Here is a 21,755-nt window from a genome sequence, read left to right on the forward strand (position 1 = left end):
CACCCCAGAGTCCCATTAACCATGTCCTCTCCCCAAGGGTAACAACTACCATATTTGTTTGTATTTTTCCAGTACAATTTTTAGATTTTACGTACATTAGATTACTTTATACTATATATATTACACAAATTATTTTACTTTAGCAATATATGATAATGTCTTTTTTTTTTTTTTGAGATGAATTCTTGCTCTGTCGCCCAGGCTAGAGTGCAGTGGCGCGATCTCGGCTCACTGCAACCTCCACCTCCTGGGTTCATGCAATTCTCCTGCCTCAGCCTCCTGAGTAGCTGGGATTAGGTGTGTGCCACCATGGCCAGCTAATTTTTGTATTTTTAGTAGAGACGGGGTTTCACCATGTTGGTCAGGCTGGTCTCGAACTCCTGACCTCAAGTAATCCACCCAATTTGGCCTCCCAAAGTGTCAGGGTTACAGGGATGAGCCACCGCGCCTGGCCTATAATAATGTCTTGAATGTGTATGAAATGTATATAAATATGCTATGCCATATCAATTTGTGTATTCATTTCAAATCATCCTCTTAGGACTGGGCATGGTACCTCACACCTGTAATCCCAGCACTTTGGGAGGCCGAGATGGGAGGATTGCTTGAGGCCAGGAGTTTGAGACCAGACTGGCCAACATAGTGAGACCCCATTTCTATTTTATACAATTAAAATATTGGCTGGGAACAGTGGCTCATGCCTGTAATTTCAGCACTTTGGGAGGCCAAGGGGGGCAGATCACTTGAGGTCAGGAGTTTGAGACCAACCTGGCAAATATGGTGAAACCCCATCTCTACTGAAAATACAAAAATTACCTGGACATGGTGGTGGGCACCTGTAATCCCAGCTACTTGGGAGGCTGAGGCAGAAGAATTGCTTGAACCTGGGAGGCAGAGACTGCAGTGAGCCTAGATCACGCTACTGCACTCCAGCCTGGGTGACAGAGTGTGACTCTGTCTCAAAAAAAAATTAATTAAATTAAATTAAAATATTAAAAATAAAATAATCCACTTAGGCTGGTGCATGGCTCATGCCTGTAATCCCAGCACTTTGGGAGGCCAAGGCAGGAGGATTGCTTGAGGCCAGGAGTTTAAGACCAGCCTGGGTGGCAACATAGTGAGACCCTGTCTCTACAAACAATACAAAAATTAGCCAGGTATAATAATGTACACCTGTAGTCCCAGCTACTGAGGAGGCTGAGGTGGGAGGATCACTTGAGTCCAGGAATTAAATGTTACAGTGGGCTATGAGCCTGCCACTGTACTCCAACCTGGACAACAGAGTGAGACCCCATCTCAAAAAAAAATTTATAAAAATGCAATTATTTGGCCGGGCGTGGTGGCTCATGCCTGTAATCCCAGCACTTTGGGAGGCTGAGGCGGGTGAATCACCTGAGGTCAAGAGTTCAAGACCAACCTGGCCAACATGGTGAAACCCCGTCTCTACTAAAAGTACAAAAAATTAGCCGTGCATGGTGGCAGGCACCTGTAATCCCAGCTACTCAGGAGGCTGAGGCAGGAGAATTGCTTGAACCTGGGAGGTGGAGGTTGCAGTGAGCCAAGATTGCAGCACTGCACTTCAGCCCGGGTGACAAGAGCAAGACTCTGTCAAAAAAAAAAAAAAAAAAGCAATTATTCCTTTACTATCTTGTAATATTATTTTTGAGATGTTTCCATGTTGACACAGTGTACCAGTTAGGAATGCTTCTGGCTAAAGATAACACGAAACCCAACCAAGAGTGATTTAAACAAACGAACTTTTTTCTCTCACATACAAATATTCTGGAGGTCGATAGCTGTTGGCATTTTTTTTCCCATAACTCAGTTATGTCAGGGACAGAATTTCTGTACTTCTGGCACTTTCTTCACGGCTGTATGCAGGGGGAAAGTGCAGTGCCAGCTGCATTTGTCTCTAGAATCCCTCAACAAACTTCCATTTATATCTCTGATCAGCTGGGCACGGTGGTGCACCTGTGGTCCCAGCTACTCAAAAGGCTGAGCCCAAGAGTTTGAGACCAGCCTGGGCAAAATAATGATACCCCTTCTCAAAAAAAGAAAAAAAAATCTCATCGATCATTATTTTCCCATGGCCTACGTGCAAAGGAGCTTAGGAAAGAGGATAATTAGTCTTTTCAGCCCCATAGAGAAGGTGGCAAATGGAGAAAAGAGTCAGGAATGGTTGCTGGGTCAGTCAATGTCTAGTATATTATTCCTAAAAGAATATTTCTTGTGACTGCTATCACTGTTATATGGATTTTCTTACTTATTCCACTACTGATGGATGTTTCCAATGTTTGCCATTTCAAGCAATGATGCAATGAACAACCTTGTATATGTCTTCTTGTGAATTTGTAAAATCTTTATCGTCTCCATTGCACAAAAAAACTGGCTCTGCTAAATTGTATATTTTTGCATACCAGGATATGTTTTTGAAACAAAAAAGCTGAATGTTTAACTTTTTTTCCTCTCTAACATCATGTTCCTGAGGCACAAACCCAAATATCCTTCAGTGAGGGAAGGATCAAGAGGGAGTAGGGATGTCTAGGGGTGGAAAGCTAGTGAACATTATAAAAATAATTTCCTGCTAAAAAGAAATTATAAAGTCTTAATATATTAGAAATTATATTCTGAATTAGTACATAAACAAAAACTAGGACATCAAAAAGACTCACAAAGAAGCAGAAATCTCAGAACAGACCACACAGGATGAAAAGAACAGTGCAACACAAGAATTCAGTATAGTTAGGAGCTCAAACAAACAAGACCAATCATACTAGTTACAGGGTATCCTCAATTCCCTAGCGAGGAGGAACAGGAGATTTTTATCTGTGTCAGTAAAGATTCTTTACATTGCAAGTGAAGAAAAATCCAAGGCAAACTGCTTTCACTAGAAAAGGAAACAGAAAAGACTATTGCTAAGTCCAGTGATGGTCATGACTTTATCCAAAGTTCAAATCATGTTAGTAGGACCTAGCTCCCAGATCCTCTTCCTCTGAGTGTTAGCTTCATTTTCAGGCAAGTTCCTTTCCTGGTAACAGAATGGCTGTAGCAGTCTCAACTTCACATTCATAGGACACAGAATCCTGAAGAAGAATTTAGCTTATCTTCCAGTAGCTTCATTTTATTAGGGAGAGGTTTTTCTTTCCCAAGAGCCCCAGCAAATATCCTTATATCTCACTGGGCTTCTGACTAGGTTATGAGTTCATTAATGAACCATCAGTAAGGCCATGGAGATGGAATATGTTGACTGACCTAACCCAGTCTGAGCTCTCCCAGAGCTGAGGCTGAGACCAATTCTACCCAATCACATAGCTTGAGAGTAGGGGAGGGAGTGATTACCCAGGATAAAATCTTTGTATTATTTCACCAAAAGAAGGGTGTTCAACCCAGCGATCTCGTTACTGGGTATACACCCAAAGGAAAATAAATCGTTCTACCGAAAGGACACATGCATCCATGTGTTCATTGCAGCGCTGTTGACAACAGAATCAACCCAGGTGCCCTCAATGGTGAATTAGATTTAAAAAATGTGGTACGCATACACCACAGAATACTATGCAGCTATAAGAAAGAACAAAATCATGTCCTTTACAGAAACATGGGTAGAGCTGTAGGCCACTATTGTAAGCAAATTAACACAGGAACAGAAAAGCAAATACCTCATGTTCTCACTTATAAGTGGGAGATAAACATTGGATACACATGGGCATAAAGATGAGCGCAATGACACTAGGTACTAAAGGGGGAAGAGGGGGTGGAGGGCAAGAGCTGAAAAACTACCCATTGGGTACTATACTGACTACCTGGGTAATGGGTTCACTCATACCCCAAACCTCTGCATCATGCAATATATCTTTGTAACAAATCTGCACATGTACCCTCTAATGTGAAAATAAAAGTTGAAAAAGAAAAAAGAAGGGTGAATGGATGTTATGGATACTGGAAAGGAAAAAACAAAATGTCCACTAAAGTATCAGAACATACTTTATATGATTTTTAGTTAATTATATGTAAGCAGGTAGAGTAAGCCATATTAATCTCATTACAAAGACAGTCTGTCATTGTCCGTAAATCCTTTGACTTATTTACCCCATTTTTCATTAAAACCCATCCAAGAATAATTACAGGCCAGAAGCACTTTCCACTAATCACCACTTAAATGATAAGCCTAATCATTAAATGATAAAACTAAATCAGTGCCCTCGATTGCCTGTAAAAGAAGATACTGAGCTAGACACAGTGGCTCACGCCTGTAATCCCAGTACTTTGGTAGGCTGAGGTAGGAGGATCACTAGAGACCAGGAGTTTGAGACCAGCCTGGGCAACACAGCAAGACTCTGTCTCTACAAAAAAATCCAAAAATTAGCTAGATGTGGTGGCATACCCCTGTAGTCCAGCCATGTGAGAGGCTGATGTGGGAGGATCACTTGAGCCCAGGATTTTGAGGCTCCAGTTAGCTATGAATGTGCCACTGCACTCCAGCCTGGGCAATACAGCAAGACCCTGTCTCAGAAAAAAAAATGTATAGAAGCCCAGTGCGTGCTGAACCCTTGGAGATAGACTTCAACCCTCTGATCCTCTGATACATCCATACACTGCTGCTCCCACTGTTGAGTTAATGCTTGTTCACTAACCTGTTTGTTCCAGTTGTTCTTGTTTTAATTACATATTTAAGTAAATGTTACATTATGTGATGAAATAAGAGTGGAGGAAAAATAACTTCTCTCTATGAAACTAAATTTAATACTTTGGAAAGACTCAATAAAGGCAAATTAATTTTTTTTTAAGACGGAGTCTTGCTCTGTTGTCCAGGCTGGAGTGCAGTGGCGCAATCTCCGCTCACTGCAACCTCCGCCTCCCAGGTTCAAGTGATCTCCTGCCTCAGCCTCCCAAGTAGCTGGGATTACAGACACCCACCACCACGCCTGACTAATTTCTATATTTTTAGTACAGACAAGGTTTCACCATGTTGAGCAGGCTGGTCTTGAACTTGGTCTTGAACTCCTGACCTCAGGTGATCAGCCTCCCAAAGTGCTGGGATTATAGGTGTGAGCCACCCAACCTGGACCAAGCTTCCTCTCTTTAAATAGGTGATTTAGGAGTTCAAGTTTACAGTGAGCTATGATCACACCACTGCACTCCAGCCTGGGCAACAGGCCAAGACCCTGTTTCTAAATAAATAAATAGTTCTGGGCCGGGTGCGGTGGCTTGTGCCTATAATCCCAGCACTTTGGGAGGCCGAGGCAGGCAGATCACCTGAGGTCGGGAGTTCGAGACCAGCCTGACCAACATGGAGAAACCCTGTTTCTACTAAAAATACAAAAAAGTAACCGGGCGTGGTGGTGCATGCCTGTAATCCCAGCTACTCAAGAGAATCACTTGAACCTGGGAGGCAGAGGTTGCGGTGAGCTAAGATTGCACCATTGCACTCCAGCCTGGGCAACAAGAGCAAAACTCTGTCTCAATAAATAAATAAATAAATAGTTCTGAGGTCCCTTCTAAGTTCAATTAAGTTCTACATACTGGATAGAGGCAAGAAAATGTGAAAAAAAAATGTCGTGCCCATTTAACACAAAGGAACACTGAGTGTTTTAAGATAATCTGCTCCTATGCTAGCTCAGAAATCAAAATTTTGTTAACATCTGCAAACACAAATGTCATGTTTAACTTTAGTTTCTATCTTTTTTTTTTTTTTTTTTTGACAGAGTCTCACTCTGTCACCCAGGCTGGAGTACAGTGGTGCCATCTCGGTTCACTGCTGCCTCCGCCTCCCAGGTTCCAGCGATTCTCCTGCCTCAGCCTCCCAGGTAGCTGCAATTACAGGCAGGCGCCACCATGCTTGGCTAATTTTTGTATTTTTAGTAGAGACAGGGTTTCGCCATGTTGGTCAGGGTGGTCTCAAACTGCTGACCTCATGATTCACCCTCCTCGGCCTCCTAGTTTCTATCTTAAAGGTGGTTTCTCTAATTTCGTCTCAAATTCTGGATGGTACACTATTTGGGGCATAAAATCTTCTGCAGCAGAAGTGTAGTAAATAGTACTGCTGAGTAAAACTAAACCATGCAATAATTACCTCAAGGAAAAAGATGGTTTTTCCAAGTTATTTAAACAAATAGCTTTTATTTAACTTTTCATAAAATGGAAAAAAAGGAACTTTTTATAAAGAAAATGCAATGACGCAATAAAGACCAGGCCACATCTCTTTAGAAAAAGAAAAAAAAGCCTAAGTGTATCAGTAGAACTATCTGAAGAGACAAAGGTACAAATATTCTTTCCCCATTATTGACTCAGAAACCACTTATCTGCAGAAACATGACAGATTGAATTTCCATGGCTAATTAAGAACATATACAGCTTTGACACCTTTGGGACTCTGGCAGCTGTGATTCCAATTTTGCGTCTCCCACCAATTTACATTCACACACAATGAATGTGACAGTGGTAGTCAGATTAGAGTGATTATTTTGTTAAATACTGAGTTGCAAAAACAACAGGGTCAGAGTAAAGGCAGGTGTACAGAATGTAACCTCTTGAGACACGTTATCTCACAGCTGTAAATACACAAAGTGGCTCTAATAGATGGACAATGGACTACTACTCTCCTTGGTAGATGTCACTGATATTTTCTAGCTATGGGAAGAAACAATAGCATATTAATGAGATTTTTACTTTGTTTCTGAAATTAATTCTTTTTTTTTTTTTTTTTTTTTTGAGACAGAGCTTTGCTCTGCCACCCAGGCTGGCATGCAGTGGCGCGATCTTGGCTCACTGCAACTTCCATCTCCCAGGCTCAAGTGATTCTTGTGCCTCAACCTCCCGAGTAGCTGGGATTACAGGCGGGTGCCACCATGCCCGGCTAATTTTTGTATTTTTAGTTGAGACAGGGTTTTGCCATGTTGGCCAGGCTGGTCTTGAACTCTGAGCTCAAGCGATCCACCCACCTCGGCCTCCCAAAGTGCTAAGATTATAGGCGTGAGCCACTGTGCCTGGCCTAAAATTAATTCTCAGAGTGTATGTTTGAAGATTTTGAACTCTATGATTAAAGACATGACTCCTAAAATGAACAAATCAGTGGATGACAATAGGTAACCCTGAAATAGATCCAAGCATATATAAAAACTTACTAATAAAGGAAGTATCAGTAACCAATTGGAAACACACTTTTTTGAAAGAAATTCAAACTCACTTTATGCCAAAATAATTCCAGATAAATTTGAATGTAAAAACACATTTTAGCCAGAAAAATACTAGAAGAAAACATAAAATTTTAGTCATATTTAAGTAATCTCAGAAGTAATAAGAACGTTTTATTTTCTGGGTTTTTGTTGTTGTTGTTTTTTAAGATATGAGGTCCTCGTTTTGCTATGTTACCTTTGCTAGTCTGGAACTCCTGGCCTCAAGCAACCCTTCCACTTTGGCCTCCCAAAGTGCTGGAATTACAGGCATGAGCCACAATACCTGGCTTAAAAGGACACTGAGGACATTTTAAGCATAAAACCACTGGAAATATAACAAAGGAAACTTAAAAAGATGTTTTAGGATATTTTTATCCCATGTTTTCTTTTAGTATTTAAAAAAAAACATATGGCCAGGCGCGGTGGCTCACGCCTGTAATCCCAGCACTTTGGGAGGCAGAGGCGGGCGGATCACGAGGTCAGGAGATCGAGATCATCCTGGCTAACATGGTGAAACCCCGTCTCTACTAAAAATACAAAAACTAGCCTGGCATAGTGGTGTGTGCCTGTAATCCCAGCTACTCGGCAGGCTGAGGCATTAGAACTGCTTGAACCCGGGAGGCAGAGCTTGCAGTGAGCTGAAATCACACCACTGCACTCCAGCCTGGGCGACAGAGTGACAGTCTGTCTCAAAAAAAAAAAAATAATAATAATAAATAAATAAAAATTAAAACATAAAAAATATTCTAATATCTGTAGGACAACTAATCACCTTCTTTTTCAACATCTTGGCTATTCTTATCCATTTTCTCTTCCAGATAAATGTTGGAATCAACTTGTCAAGTAAAAAAAAAAGAATCCAGTTGGAATTTTGATTAAAGTTATATTTGTAGATTAATTTGAGACCAATTGAGTTGTTTTCTCATCTAGAAACATGGTATGTTTTTACATTTATTTAGGACTTATTTTTTCTTTAGCAACGTTTCCTGGTTTTCCTCATATTAATTTTATACATTTCGTGCTGAGTAAATTAATTAATCAACTCACTCAACAACTCTTTGTCCGAGGCTCAGAGTGTACAGCAATGAACAAGGCAAGTTCCCTGTTCTCATGGAGCCTATATTCTAATTGGGACAAATAAACAAAAAAGATCAGCTAGTGAGTAGTCCTCTGCAGATAATTAAAATAGGGTTATGTGATAGAGAGATATTGGGTGGCTACGTTAGATTGGGTGGTTAAGAAAGTCCCTTAATATTTCAACTGAGATCTGAGTAGCAAGAAGAATCCAGCTTTGTAAAGCTGCTGGGAGTGGGGATGGCATTTCAAGGAGAGGGAACCGCTAATGAAAAAAAAAAATCACTAAGTCTCCTAATAGTTTGATATTTTCTGTTCAAGGAACAGAAAAAAGGCCAGTGAAGCTAGCGGTGAGTGGTGAAGGGGAAAGTGTTATGAAAAGATGTTAGACAAACATTTAGGGGCCAAACAGATGATTCAGGCCTTCATAAGGAGTTTGCATATTATTTTATTTTTTTGAGACAAAGTCTCTGTTGCCCAGGCTTCAAGGTAGTGGTGTGATCTGAGCTCACTGCAGCCTCTGCCTCCCAGGTTCAGGTGATTCTCCTGCCTCAGCCTCTCCCCCTAGTAGCTGGAACTACAAGTGCACGCCACCATGACTGGCTAATTTTTGTATTTTTAGAAGTGACAGTGTTTTGCCATGTTGGCCAGGCTGGTCTCCACTCCTGGCCTTAAGTGATCTGCCCGCGTTGGCCTCCCAAAGTGCTGGAATAACAGGTGTGAGCCACTGTGCCTGGCCTACATTATATTAAATGTGATGGAAGCCATGTATTGAGTAAAAGAATGACTTGATCTGATTCATGGTTTTTGAAAGATCGCTATAGTACCTAGCGGAAAAAGGATAGCAGAGGGCCAAGAGTGAAAGAAAGATTTGTGAGGAGGCGAGTGTAGTGGTCCAGGTAAGAGGTAATAGTGGCCAGATATGGTGGCTCACACCTGTAGTCCCAGCTACTAGGGAGGCCGAGGCACGAGAATTCCTTGATCCCAGGAGGCAGAGGTTGCTAGTGAGCCGAGATCACGTCACTGCACTCCAGCCTGGGTGATGGAGGGAGACTCTGTCTCAAAAAAAAGAAAAAAAACAGAACATATTTATACACAAATGGAAATGACCCAGAAGAGGAGAAATTAGTCTGGGTGTGGTGACATGTGCCTTAATCTCAGCTACTTGGGGGCTAAAGTTGGAGGATCACTTGAGGTCAGGAGTTTGAGGCTGCAGTGAGCTATAATTGCGCCTGTGAATAATCACTGCACCCCAGCCTGGGCATCATAGACCCCGTCTTTAACATTTAGAAAGACAGAGAGAAAGGAGAGATTGATGAGGCAGGAGCAAGGAGGATAATTGTTGGAGCAGTAAAACTCTTGAAAAGGAGACAGTATGGAAGATATGGATAGTATCTTGAAAAATAAAGTGGATGAGAAGTGACACGAATAGTGGAAGAAACAAAGACGGTGGGCTATGAAAAATGATGGGGAGATACCAGGGATCAGTAGCTGACAGCATCTCAGAGTAGCAGCAGTCTGCATAAATTTTAAAAGCACTTGAGTTTCTGAGGGAGGAAGGAAGAGAAGTGGTTTGGAGGTAATATGAGGAATAGGCCACAGATAAGAATACCTATGAGAGGAAAAATAACCTCCTGTACTTGAAAAGTTGCAAGGGAGGTAGTTTTGCTAAGTGATAAACCGGGTTTCAGTTGGAATGGGAAGTTGATGGGAACATTTACAGAAGAGGCTAAGAATAAAGGGGAAGTGGTTGATGGCAGATGTTGAAATCAAAAGTGTGAAGTGAAATGGTTAGGATATTTGGTGAAGAGTGGGATATGGAATCAGAGTAATTGAAGCAGAGAGTAGCATGGAGATACTAGAGCAATAAACGGATGACGCAGATCCTACTGGTTGTGATTGAGGTGGAAAGGATTATAAAGCATGATGGAATTATCTTTTGGTAATCTCTTGGGTCAAACGTGGTGAACGGTAAGATGAATAATATAGAGCTACACAAACCGTTCTTGTGATATGGAGGCTGCTCCCTAATTACAATGCTAATATTTCATTTAGGATTTTTGTATTCATCGTTACAAAACAGGGTCTGTAGGTTTCCTTTTAGTGTTCATAATGCTTAGGTTTTACTAACAGGGTTATGATTACCTCTCCAAACAAGCTGGGATTTTTTTTTTCAAGCGTTTCCATGCCCTGGAACCATCTGGTCTAGTGCTTTTTGGGGTAATGAATATCTTCAATTGTATTTATTTTTACTTAGTTGATCTATTCAGATTTTCTACATTTTCTTGAGCTGATTTTGCTTATTTATATTTTTATTGATATAAAGATTTTTTCTATTTTTATTTCTTGTGCCAACTGTATGTACATTCCCCCCATTCCCGTTTCCATACTGTTTTTAGGCCATTTGAAAATCTCAAAGGTTTTACAGGAAAGTACAGATTGATGAAGAAATGGCCAAAAACGGGAAAAGTGAACTTTAAAGTGATTCAACTACAAAACGTATGCTACTGAGCAAATACTAGTGTATTCCTCGCTCTGCGGCTTAACTCCATGAAAATCCGTGCAAAGGTTTTAGCGTTGGGATTGTGACCGACTCGGTGAAGAGAGGGGACGATCACCAAACCGTTAGAGCACTGGGGCTCTTGGCAGTGTTTGTCAGTTATTTTCAAGTGATAACTTGAAGTGATACCGCAGGAATAAAATGCTGTATCCAGAGCTGGTCGGAACGAGCACTACCTTTAACAAAAGCTGAAAAGATCTGCCTAGGAATTCGTTAGAATACAGCCCTCTTACGTCTCTGACATACCTAGTTATGTGAACCGAGACTGTGCAGCTGACGGTGGAAATTTCCTAAGTGCTTTTTAAACAACAGAACTGGACTCCCTCCCTCCTCCATTCCCAGTCGAATACGTCCCACCCAGATCCAGCTCAAGGGTGCAGCACTTGTTCCGGCCAGCTCACAATCGCCCTTTGGAAGGGAGGTTTCCCGCCATTTCGCTTAGGAGGAGGGTGAACTCTTCTCCCTTCATTCTCCACTCGCTGGGGGCCCGAGCCCACACCACCTTCCTAGCAAAGCAAGCAGCGGGACGCCAAGGCCAGCAGGCCGCATTAAGAACGCTGGACTGAGCCAAAAGCCTACACAGACCAAGCCGCTCGGGAAAGGATCAACAACTGCCGACAACCCGGAGGGCGAAAACGCCCGCGGCGTAGGGGAAGCAAACTAGGAGATGCGCGGGCCCAGCGCCAGCGGCGGGAGGAGGCAGCGCGGCCGTCGCAGGCGGGAGCGAAGGCGGGGACGGAGGGCGGGCTCGCTCCACTCGACTCCGGATTGGTCGAGCTTAGAGAGCCGAGTGACGTCAGCGGGGGAGAACGCCTGATTTGTGTGGTGGGCGCGGGCGGTGGGGGGAAGCGCAGTGCGCAGGCGCAACTGCCTGGCTCTGCTCGCTCCGGCGCTCCGGCCCAGCTCTCGCGGACAAGTCCAGACATCGCGCGCCCCCCCTTCTCCGGGTCCGCCCCCTCCCCCTTCTCGGCGTCGTCGAAGATAAACAATAGTTGGCCGGCGAGCGCCTAGTGTGTCTCCCGCCGCCGGATTCGGCGGGCTGCGTGGGACCGGCGGGATCCCGGCCAGCCGGCCATGGCGGGGCTGTACTCGCTGGGAGTGAGCGTCTTCTCCGACCAGGGCGGGAGGAAGTACATGGAGGACGTTACTCAAATCGTTGTGGAGCCCGAACCGACGGCTGAAGAAAAGCCCTCGCCGCGGCGGTCGCTGTCTCAGCCGTTGCCTCCGCGGCCGTCGCCGGCCGCCCTTCCCGGCGGCGAAGTCTCGGGGAAAGGCCCAGCGGTGGCAGCCCGAGAGGCTCGCGACCCTCTCCCGGACGCCGGGGCCTCGCCGGCACCTAGCCGCTGCTGCCGCCGCCGTTCCTCCGTGGCCTTTTTCGCCGTGTGCGACGGGCACGGCGGGCGGGAGGCGGCACAGTTTGCCCGGGAGCACTTGTGGGGTTTCATCAAGAAGCAGAAGGGTTTCACCTCGTCCGAGCCGGCTAAGGTTTGCGCTGCCATCCGCAAAGGCTTTCTCGCTTGTCACCTTGCCATGTGGAAGAAACTGGGTAAGTTCCCTGGCTTGTTTGGCGCCCGCCCCTTTTTCAGGCAGTTCAGGGCTTTTATGGCACCAGCCCCGCGTGGGCCCCCGGCACCCAGAGCGCAACCAAAGTATACACTGATGGAAGTGACTAAAAGCTGTAATAGCGCTTTGCTGGGTGGAGGTCCGGGCAAACCAAGCGGCCTTGGGGAAGATAGGATTGCCGTCTCCCTGCAGCCTATTCTTGCTTTATTTCCATCCTCCAAGGATCAATGGGAAGCAGTCCACTCCCTTCCCTGCTTCACTTTGGTGGCAACCAGAGGAAACGTGTTTGAAACCTGGCGCCAGATTTTGGCCAAAAGATAAATCGATGTTGCACCTGGGCCAGGCGAAGGAAAAACTGTAGTGTTTCCTTAGAGAATCTGTCATAATTCTGCTCCTGAAAGTCTTATCCCTCTCGGTTGCCTCCTACCGGTGGTGTCAGTTCTCCAGATTGACCCGGGATTGCTGGGGTTGGTTGCTGGAGTAAAGCGTAAGCTAATTTAGAAGGGCTGAAACGTAACCATCCGGCAACTTAAAGTTTTGGAAGGAATTCCGTTGTAATGATGGTGAGATGTTTTTAGGATCATAAACCTGTACTGCTTATGAAAACTAAAAACGCGGAACGTGTTGTTACCTCTTAAAAACTGGCCCCGTGTTAAGGGTGTGCGTTAGATTCTGCTTGGGTTTTCTTTTTGGAAATTGCCTTAGCTGATTGCTTTCAGATAGTTCCCAACCGGTTGTTCCTAGTTTAAAAAGTACTTATAAATTGTAACTGCCCATCAAAATAAGAAAAGGCAAGGAATTACTGTATGCTAGAAGGAAATAAAGGTCTTAAATGTCTAAAAATTTCGGTGTAGTTGTAGTTTCATCTAAGTTTTTTTAAATGTTTGTAAAGCAGGCAGGATTTCTGTGCCCAACATTTACAGAATCATCTTACAGCATTATAATTGCTTATCTATTGCAGTGAATAAATGGCATGCATCTTTGTTAGAGCAAAGAAGACAATACTTCCAGTGGTGGGAAAAAACCTTGTTTATGGCAGCATAATAACGTTGCTTTATTTTCAGCAGAGGGATAGAGACATAGAGAAAAGAGTTAGATTTAGCAAATACAGAACATTTTTAGAAAGGTATTGTCATAGAGTTGTAGATTAGCCGGTTTCAAAGTCTGTTTTCCATTTGCTTGGCTTTCTGCCAAGAGTTAGTTGATTGACTCAAAAACCAGCCACTAGGCTTGTTGGAGGCGTTTCCCATCCATCCCAGGGGCCCCTCTTTATGGATTTATTTTGTTTTTGTGTAGGCACCGTAGAGCTGAAAGCACTGTAGTGTATTGTAGAAATATGTGATATCATTGACTGCAGGGCAACGAGAAGTCGACAGCAGCACAAGAGAGGAAGACTAGGCACAGAACTATTTAGAGTGCTGTTTATTTTGCAGTATACTTGGAGTAACATGAATTTGCCATATGTTTGAACTTTAAGGATAAAAAATCTTTAAGGTATAAACTCCGTTACATTAGTATTAAATTTTTTTTTTTTTAAGAGACGGGCAGGGGCGGGGGACGGGTGTGGGCCGCCTTACTTTGTTGCCCAGGCTGGGCAACAAGCGATCCTGGGCTCAAGCGATCCTTCCTCCTCGGCCTCCGAAAGTGCTGGAATTACAGGCGTGAGCTACCCTGCCGGACCTTCAGGAACATTTTTTAATAAAGCAGGGGCCATGCTGTTAAATGTAAATATGTATGGTTTAGTTTTACATACACAGACTTTTCGAATTAAGCTGTCACTCTTATGATGCATAAAGTTTAGAGCCTTATACTCCAGAAAAATGTTAAAGTTTGTTTTGTACCACAGCTAGACCTCAGACTTCGTCCTCAAAGCTTGAAAAAAAAAAAAAAAAAAAAAGTATGCTAATTATTTTGGGAGTCTTGACAAAGGAAACGAAGGTTTAAATTTTTTTTTCAATCACAAATTCTTGGATGGCTCCACATTTTCTGTAAAGTAAACTGTAGTTTGCAATCTGCAGGCCAACCCCTTTCCTGTACATATTCAGCCTCTCCAGTAAATTATATTTGTTACACGAATTTCCATTACATTAGTCTCTACTCACCTTTTTTCAGGACACATGGAAATACTCCATTTCCATTTTCTTGGATTCTGCCTCTCTCACCCTGCCCCCCCAACAAGGAAAACTCAAACAAAAATATATCCATCATGTAGATTCCCAGTCAGTATGTTTTCTTCTGTGAAGACTACTTTCTTTTGGAATTGAGCACCCTTTTTTCTACTTTTGTAGTGCTCATTGGATTGTAGTAATAGTTCTCAAACTTTTTGCTCTCAGAACCCTTTATATGCTTATTGAGGACCCCAGAGAGTTTTTATGTGGGCTACATCTTCCAGTATTTACTATATGAGAAATTTAAACTTAGGCAATTTAAAAATATTTCTTTAAAAACAAACTTATATGTTTATATATATATTTTAAAGAAAAAACACTTTTTTCCCCAAATAAGAAATAGTGGTGGGAGGAGTGGGGTTGTTTTACATTTTGCAAACCTCTTTCAATGTCTGGCTTAATAGAGGACAGCTGAATGGCCGGGCGCACGCCTGTAATCCCAGCACTTTGGGACACAAAGGCAGGCGAATCACCTGAGGTCAGGAGTTTGAGACCAGCCTGGCCAACATGGTGAAACCTTGTCTCTACTAAAAATACAGAAATTAGCCGGGTGTGGTGGTGCATGCCTGTGATCCTAGTTACTCAGAAGGCTTAGGCAGAGAGAATTGCTTGAACCCGCGAGGCGGAGGTTGCAGTGAGCTGGGATTGGGCCACTGCACTCCAGCCTGGGCAACAGAGTGAGACTCCGTCTCAAAAAAAAAAAAGACAGCTGAATTATCATATCCACTTCTGCACTCAATCTCTTGCGCTATTTGGTTGAAGTATCTAAAGAAATAGCAGCCCCACATGCATATGTAGTAGGAAAAAGGAGAAATATTTTATTAGTCTTTTCAGATAATTGTGGATATTCTGCACTAAAATGGTAGCTATTTTCCCCCCCAGAGAAAGGTGGAAGAAAAGTAGTTTCTTAAAGTTTGCTGAATTGGAATTTGAAACCTTAGTAATGAATTTCATACTTAATACGTTAAGATCCATTGGTCTATTTTGTACTTTGAACGAATCTCATCCATGTGTGATTTTTGTGACATAGTGCATTAGTTATTTGGAAAATAATGGTTCACTCAGTTAAGAACGTCCTCTGAATAGCAACACATTTCATTATACAATATCAAAGAAAATCATGTTTGTTAATATCACTGATCTCATCAGAAAACTCTTTAAATATTGGGAAGCTATCTAGTTCACTGTTGTGGATACACATTATCCAAAATGTATTTTTCAAGCAACAATTAGAAATGTATCATTGAGAACAAATACTGTCAGTTTTTCTTGAAGCGAAAAGCTCACTTTGTTCATGTTGAAGATGTACACCAAATGCCCAAGTCTTATTAACACAGTTTATCAGTCTCTCAAGTAAAGATGATGGTCCATGAAAAATGTGGCTAGTTCATTACATGACTCAGACAATCACAGGTGCTTTTCCTGTAGTATGTAACAAAAGCCTGTTTATGTAGTCTCCTTTTTGTCATATAGAATATTAAAAAGATATGCAGCCTGGGCAACATGGCAAGACCCTGTTGCTATACAAAATAAAAAATTAGCTTGGCATGGTAGCATGTGCGTGTAGTCTCTGCTACTCCAGAGGCTGAGATGGAGGGATTGCTTGAGCCTGGGAGGTGGGGTTACAGTGAACCATGATGGAGCCTGTGCACTCAGCCTGGGCAACAGAAGAAAAAAGTAGGTATTCATGGGTTGGGATTTAATACAATTAATTTTTATTGTGTCATCAAGGATATTCTTTTTTTAATTTTAGTTTTTGTTTTTTGAGACGGAGTCTCACTGTATTGCCCAGGCTGGAGTGCTGTGGCACAATTTCAGCTCACTGCAACCTCCTCCTCTCAGGTTCAAGCGATTCTCGTGCCTCAGCCTTCTGAGTAGCTGGGACTACAGGCATGTGCCATCATACCCAGCTAATTTTTGTATTTTTTTTAGCAGAGATGGGGTTTCGCCATGTTGGCCAGGCTGGTCTTGAACTCTTGACCTCAAGTGATCCATCTGCCTCGGCCTCCCACAGGCATGAGCCACCACTCCTGGCCAGGAATATTCTTAAGTGAAACTAGCTTGCTTTTTTTGGACTGTAATTAGGTAGCTGTGAAGAATGCAGTGACTAATGGCTCAATCTGGTGCCACTGCCTTGACTCCTGCCAAGGTACCAGTAGTTTACCAGCCATTGCTTTCTACCATCAGTACAAATGTCAGCACAGTGAAAAGGGCAAATAAACTCTTAGAATTATTATGAAAATAGTTTTGGCCTTGTAGAATCCCTATAAAGATTACACAGACCACTGGGAGATGCTAGTCTGCTATAGTATCTGCCTGTCAGCTAAATCTTGAGGTCTTTGGGGCCAGAGATACTGCCTTACTCATCTTTAATTGTTTTAGGATTGGCCACATAATACCTTGCCCAAAGTAGCTGCTCAACAACTAGTTGAGTTTAGTTGAATTTCTGTTGAGTGTAAGTAAATAAATGGACTTTCTTCCATTTTTTAATTAAAATTTCTCCTTTTAAAAAATTGTGCTAAAATACAGATAACATAAAGTTTATACCAGGCCAGGCGTGGTGGCTCACGCCTGTAATCCCAGCAATTTGGGAGGCCAAGGCGGGCGGATCACCCAAGGTCAGGAGTTTGAGATCAGCCTGGCCAACATGGTGAAACTCAGTCTCTATTAAAAATACAAAAAAATTAGCCGCACGTGGTGGTGTGTACCTGTAATCCCAGCTACTGGGGAGGCTGAGGTGGGAGAATTGCTTGAACCTGGGAGGCAGAGGTTGCAGTGAGCTGAGATCACGCCATTGCACTCCAGCCTGGGAGAAGACGCGAGACTCTGTCTCATAAATAAATAAATAAAATTTATACCATTTTAGCCATTTTTAGGTATATAATTTAGTGGCGTTAAGTGTATTCATAATGTTGTACAACCATCACCACTATCAGTTTTCAAAACTTCATCAGCCCAAATAGAAACTCTGTGTCCATTAAATAATATCTCATTGTTTCCCCCTTTCCCATCTCTGGTAACCTCCCCATTCTACTTTGTACTGCTATGAATTTGACTATTCCAGTACTCCATTTAAGTAGAAAAGTGTTCTTTTGTGTCTGACTTATTTTACTTAGCATGTCTTTAGAGTTCATTCATATTGTACCATGAGTCAGAATTTCTGCTGAATAATATCCCATCATATAGATGTATGCATGCCACATTGTGTTTATCCAGTTTTCTGTTGATGGACATTTGGGTTGTTTCCACTTTTTGGCTATTGTGACTAGTACTGCTGTGAACATTGGTGTACAAGCATTTGTTTGCATCCCAGTTTTTCAATTCTTTTGGGTATGAACCTATAAGTGGAATTGCTGGATCATATGGTAATTCTATGTTTAACATTTTAAGGACTTGCCAAACTGTTTACACAGCAGCTGTACCATTTTACATTCCTACCAGCAAGGTATGAAGGCTTCAATTTCCCCATATTCTAACGCTTGTTAACTTTTGTATTAAAAAAAAAAATCCTGATGAATGTGGACTGTCTTACATTTTAAAATTATAGCTTTTCTATGTTACTGAGCCCTTCTTGAATTATTTGGTGTTAAGCTTGACCTCTCTTGTCTTTCTAATGATGTGTACGCCTCCCAAATTTACAAAGGAAAATTTTTTAAATGGCTTATTTTTGTCTTGAGGTAGGGAGATTTGGTAAATACAGTATGGAATGAAAGAGTATATAAATATATTCTTTTTTTGTGTGTGTGACAGGGTCTTGCTCTGTTGTCCAGGCTGGAGTGTAATGGCATGATCAAAGGTCCCTGCAGCCTTGACTTCCTTGGCTCAAGGGATCCTCCTGCCTCAGCCTCTGAAGTAGCTGAGACTACAGGCATGTGCCTGCAAAGTAGCTGAGACTACAGGCATGCGCCCAGCTAATTTTTTTTTTTAATTTTTTTTTTTTATAGAGACAGGGTCTTGCCATGTTGCCCAGGGTGGTTCCTTACCCTGGGTTCAAGAAGTCTTCCCAGCTTGGCCTCCCAAAATGCTGTTATTACAGGCATAAGCCACCACATCCAGGCCTGAATATATTCTTTATTAAAAGGTCATTATTTTTCTTTTTTCTTTATTCATGATCATAAGTTTTAGGTTATGCCTAATTTATACTCACATATATATGTTTACTGCCCTTTTATTATGCTTGCCTTCTAAGAAATAAGTTTTTTTGTTTGTTTTGTTTTGTTTTATTTTTGAGACGGAGTTTTGCTCTTGTTGCCCAGGCTGGAGTGCAATGGTGCGATCTCAGCTCACTGCAACCTCCACCTCCCGGGTTCAAGCGATTCTCCTGCCTCAGCTTCCCGAGTAACTGGGATTACACGCATGTGCCACCACACTCAGCTAATTTTGTATTTTCAGTAGAAAAGAAGTGAGACTCTGTCTCTGGGGTTTCTCCATGTTGGTCAGGCTGGTCTTGAACTCCCGACCTCAAGTGATCCACCTGCCTCAGGCTCCCAAAGTGTTGGGATTACAGGCGTGAGCCACCGCACCTGGCAAAAATAAGTTTTAAAGTTTGTATAGGCTTTTTTAGGTTTACTTATTGGAAATAATGTTTTCATTGTCCCTTCTTTTGATAGTTTAAAGAAGATGGTGAATGAAGTGCAGCTTTTAGCTCTGTGTCATAGTCTTATCAATAGAGTCAATAGAAAGATGACATTCTGCAAAGGGTGATCTCTGGTGTGATTACAGGGAATTGGCCACAGTATTTGTAAAGGAAGATGAAATACAAAAGTTTCATTTGTTAACTTGGACTGAAGATTTAGAGCATTCATTTTAAAAGAGTATGACCAAGGAAATCGTGAAGAAGTTAATCTTAACATAAATTGTTGGTTCTAGATTTGGCATTACTTTAATTTAAAATGGAAAGAAACCAAAGTGGGGAGAGAGAATTGAATTTGGAGAAACCTCTTAAACTATAGAATTTTAAATGTGTATCTTGTTTTATGTTGGTTGTTCGCATTTTTTCATCATAAAGGATCTTCACCTTCTCATAAATTATACGTTCTGAAAGAGTTGTGTGCCATATTACTTATCAAGTTCAAATTTATTTTTTCTATTTTCATTATCAGTCATTACTTTTGATCCTTATTAGGTAGTCTCTCCAGAATTGATATCACTTAGAGAAATAGAAGCAATTTAAATTCTCATTAGTTTCTACATTATGCAGGTAAAACTAGATTTCTTTGCATCTTTATATTATGAAATATTCAAAAAGATGTAAAATGATTAAACAAACACCCATCCATAACTCAGCTTAAAAAATAAAACATTACCAGGCCGGGCATGGTGGCTCACGCCTGTAATCCCAGCACTTTGGGAGGCCGAGGCAGGCAGATCATGAGGTCAAGAACCTGATGAAACCCAGTTTTTACTAAAAATACAAAAAATTAGCTGGGTGTGGTGGCATGCGCTGGTAGTCCCAGCTACAGTGAGCTGAGATCAACGACACTGCACTCCAGCCTGGCAACAGAGCGAGATTCTGTCTCAACAATAAATAAATAAATAAAATAATAAAACATTACCAGTATAGTTAAGCCCCTTCTCTCTGTGTCATATTACATCTTTTTCACTCCCCATGAGGGGCAACTGCTTCTATATTCAGTGTTTATCATCCTCACTATTTTTTTTATAATTTTATTAGGTATATCTTTTTTTTTTTTTGACACAGAGTCTCGCTCTGTCGCCCAGGCTGGAGTGCAGTGGCGCTATCTTGGCTCACTGCAAGCTCTGCCTCCTGGGTTCACACCATTCTCCTGCCTCAGCCTCCCGAGTGGCTGGGACTACAGGCGCCCGCCACCACGCCCGGCTAATTTTTTGTATTTTTAGTAGAGACGGGGTTTCACCGTGTTAGCCAGGATGGTCTCGATCTCCTGACCTCGTGATGTGCCCTCCTCGGCCTCCCAAAGTGCTGGGATTACAGGCGTGAGCCACCGCGCCCGGCCTTTATTATGTATATCTTTAACCAATATACAGTACATTTTGTATTTTGTTTGTTTGTTTGTTTTTTAAGACAGAGTCTTGCTTAATCTCCCGGGCTGGAGTGCAATGGCGTGATCTCGGCTCACCGCAACCTCCGCCTCCTGGATTCAAGCGATTCTCCTACCTCAGCCTCCCCAGTAGCTGGAATTACAGGCGCGCACTACCACGCCCAGCTAATTTTTTGTATTTTTAGTAGAGATGGGGTTTCACCATGTTGGCCAGGCTGGTCTCGAACTCCTGACCTCGTGATCCACCCGCCTTGGCCTCCCAAAGTGCTAGGATTACAGGTGTGAGCCACCGTGCCCAGCCTGCATGGTTTTTATAACTTATATATGACATCTTACTATATGTATGCTATTGTCATCCCTTATGTGTTGGTTTCACTTTCTGCAGTTTGTTAACTTTGTTCAATGTTGAAATATTAAATATAAAATTCTAGAAATAAACAATTTGTAAGTTTAACTTGTGTGCTGTTGGGAGTAGCATGATGAAATCTTGTCTCGTCCCACTGTGTCAGCCCTGGATGTTAATCATTTCTTTGCCCAGCATATCTACGCTGTATATGCTACCTACCTGTTAGTCACTTAGTAGCTTGTTAGTCACTTAGTAGCCATCTTGGGTGTGGTTATCGGATCAACTCTTATGGTATTGCAGTGTTTATGTTCAAGTGACTCTTATTTTACTTAATAATGGACCCAAAGAGCAAGAGTAGTAATGCTGGCATATTGTTATACTTGTTTTATTTTATTAATGTTGTTAATTTCTTACTGTGCCTAATTTATAAATTACATTTTATCATAGATACGTATGTATAGGAGCCAAGCACGGTGGCTCACGCCTGTAATCCCAGCCCTTTGGGAGGCAGAGGTGGGCGGATCATGAGGTCAGGAGATCAAGACCATCCTGGCCAACATGGTGAAACCCTGTCTCTACTAAAATACAAAAAACTAGCCGGGCATGGTGGTGCGCACCTGTAGTCGCAGCTACTCAGGCGGCTGAGGCAGGGGAATTGCTTGAACCTGGGAGGTGGAGATTGCAGTGAGCCGAGATCGTGCCACTGCACTCCAACCTAGCAATAGAGTGAGACTGTCTCAAAAAAAAAAAAAAAAAAGATATGTATGTACGTATAGGAAAAAACATAGTGTATATAGGATTTGGTACTATCCAAAGTTTCAGGCATCCTTTGGGGGTTTTGGAACATAT

General features: G+C 42.3%; 1 protein-coding gene across 3 annotated transcripts in view, besides 4 other annotated features; it reads left to right on the forward strand.

Moving 5' to 3' along the window:
* Positions 2,664 to 2,864: a silencer, noted in NCBI's record as "peak2928 fragment used in MPRA reporter construct". NCBI's record gives its function as "represses an SCP1 promoter by STARR-seq MPRAs in K562 erythroleukemia cells {active_cell/tissue: K562}" and the evidence as "EXISTENCE:reporter gene assay evidence [ECO:0000049][PMID:32103011]".
* Positions 10,595 to 11,583: an enhancer, noted in NCBI's record as "NANOG-H3K27ac-H3K4me1 hESC enhancer chr17:58676487-58677475 (GRCh37/hg19 assembly coordinates)". NCBI's record gives its function as "activates a minimal SCP1, AML or CMV promoter by ChIP-STARR-seq in naive H9 embryonic stem cells {active_cell/tissue: H9 hESC(naive)}" and the evidence as "EXISTENCE:reporter gene assay evidence [ECO:0000049][PMID:30033119]".
* Positions 11,584 to 12,571: an enhancer, noted in NCBI's record as "NANOG-H3K27ac-H3K4me1 hESC enhancer chr17:58677476-58678463 (GRCh37/hg19 assembly coordinates)". NCBI's record gives its function as "activates a minimal SCP1, AML or CMV promoter by ChIP-STARR-seq in primed H9 embryonic stem cells {active_cell/tissue: H9 hESC(primed)}" and the evidence as "EXISTENCE:reporter gene assay evidence [ECO:0000049][PMID:30033119]".
* Positions 11,662 to 21,755, forward strand: part of PPM1D (protein phosphatase, Mg2+/Mn2+ dependent 1D) — a 66,088-nt gene continuing 55,994 nt past the window's right edge. For all 3 annotated transcript variants that reach the window (XR_934577.3, XR_007065507.1, NM_003620.4), the window contains exon 1: positions 11,662 to 12,355. Coding sequence is in view for 1 of the 3 variants with exons in the window: in NM_003620.4 (NP_003611.1) it covers positions 11,884 to 12,355 (472 nt within the window). In the remaining 2 variants the exon portion in view is untranslated. The remainder of the gene's footprint in view (positions 12,356 to 21,755) is intronic.
* Positions 11,732 to 11,781: an enhancer, noted in NCBI's record as "active region_12532". NCBI's record gives its function as "activates an Ori minimal core promoter by ATAC-STARR-seq in GM12878 lymphoblastoid cells {active_cell/tissue: GM12878}" and the evidence as "EXISTENCE:reporter gene assay evidence [ECO:0000049][PMID:35858748]".

This window comes from Homo sapiens, chromosome 17 (assembly GCF_000001405.40).
Source record: "Homo sapiens chromosome 17, GRCh38.p14 Primary Assembly".
Lineage (NCBI taxonomy): Eukaryota > Metazoa > Chordata > Mammalia > Primates > Hominidae > Homo > Homo sapiens.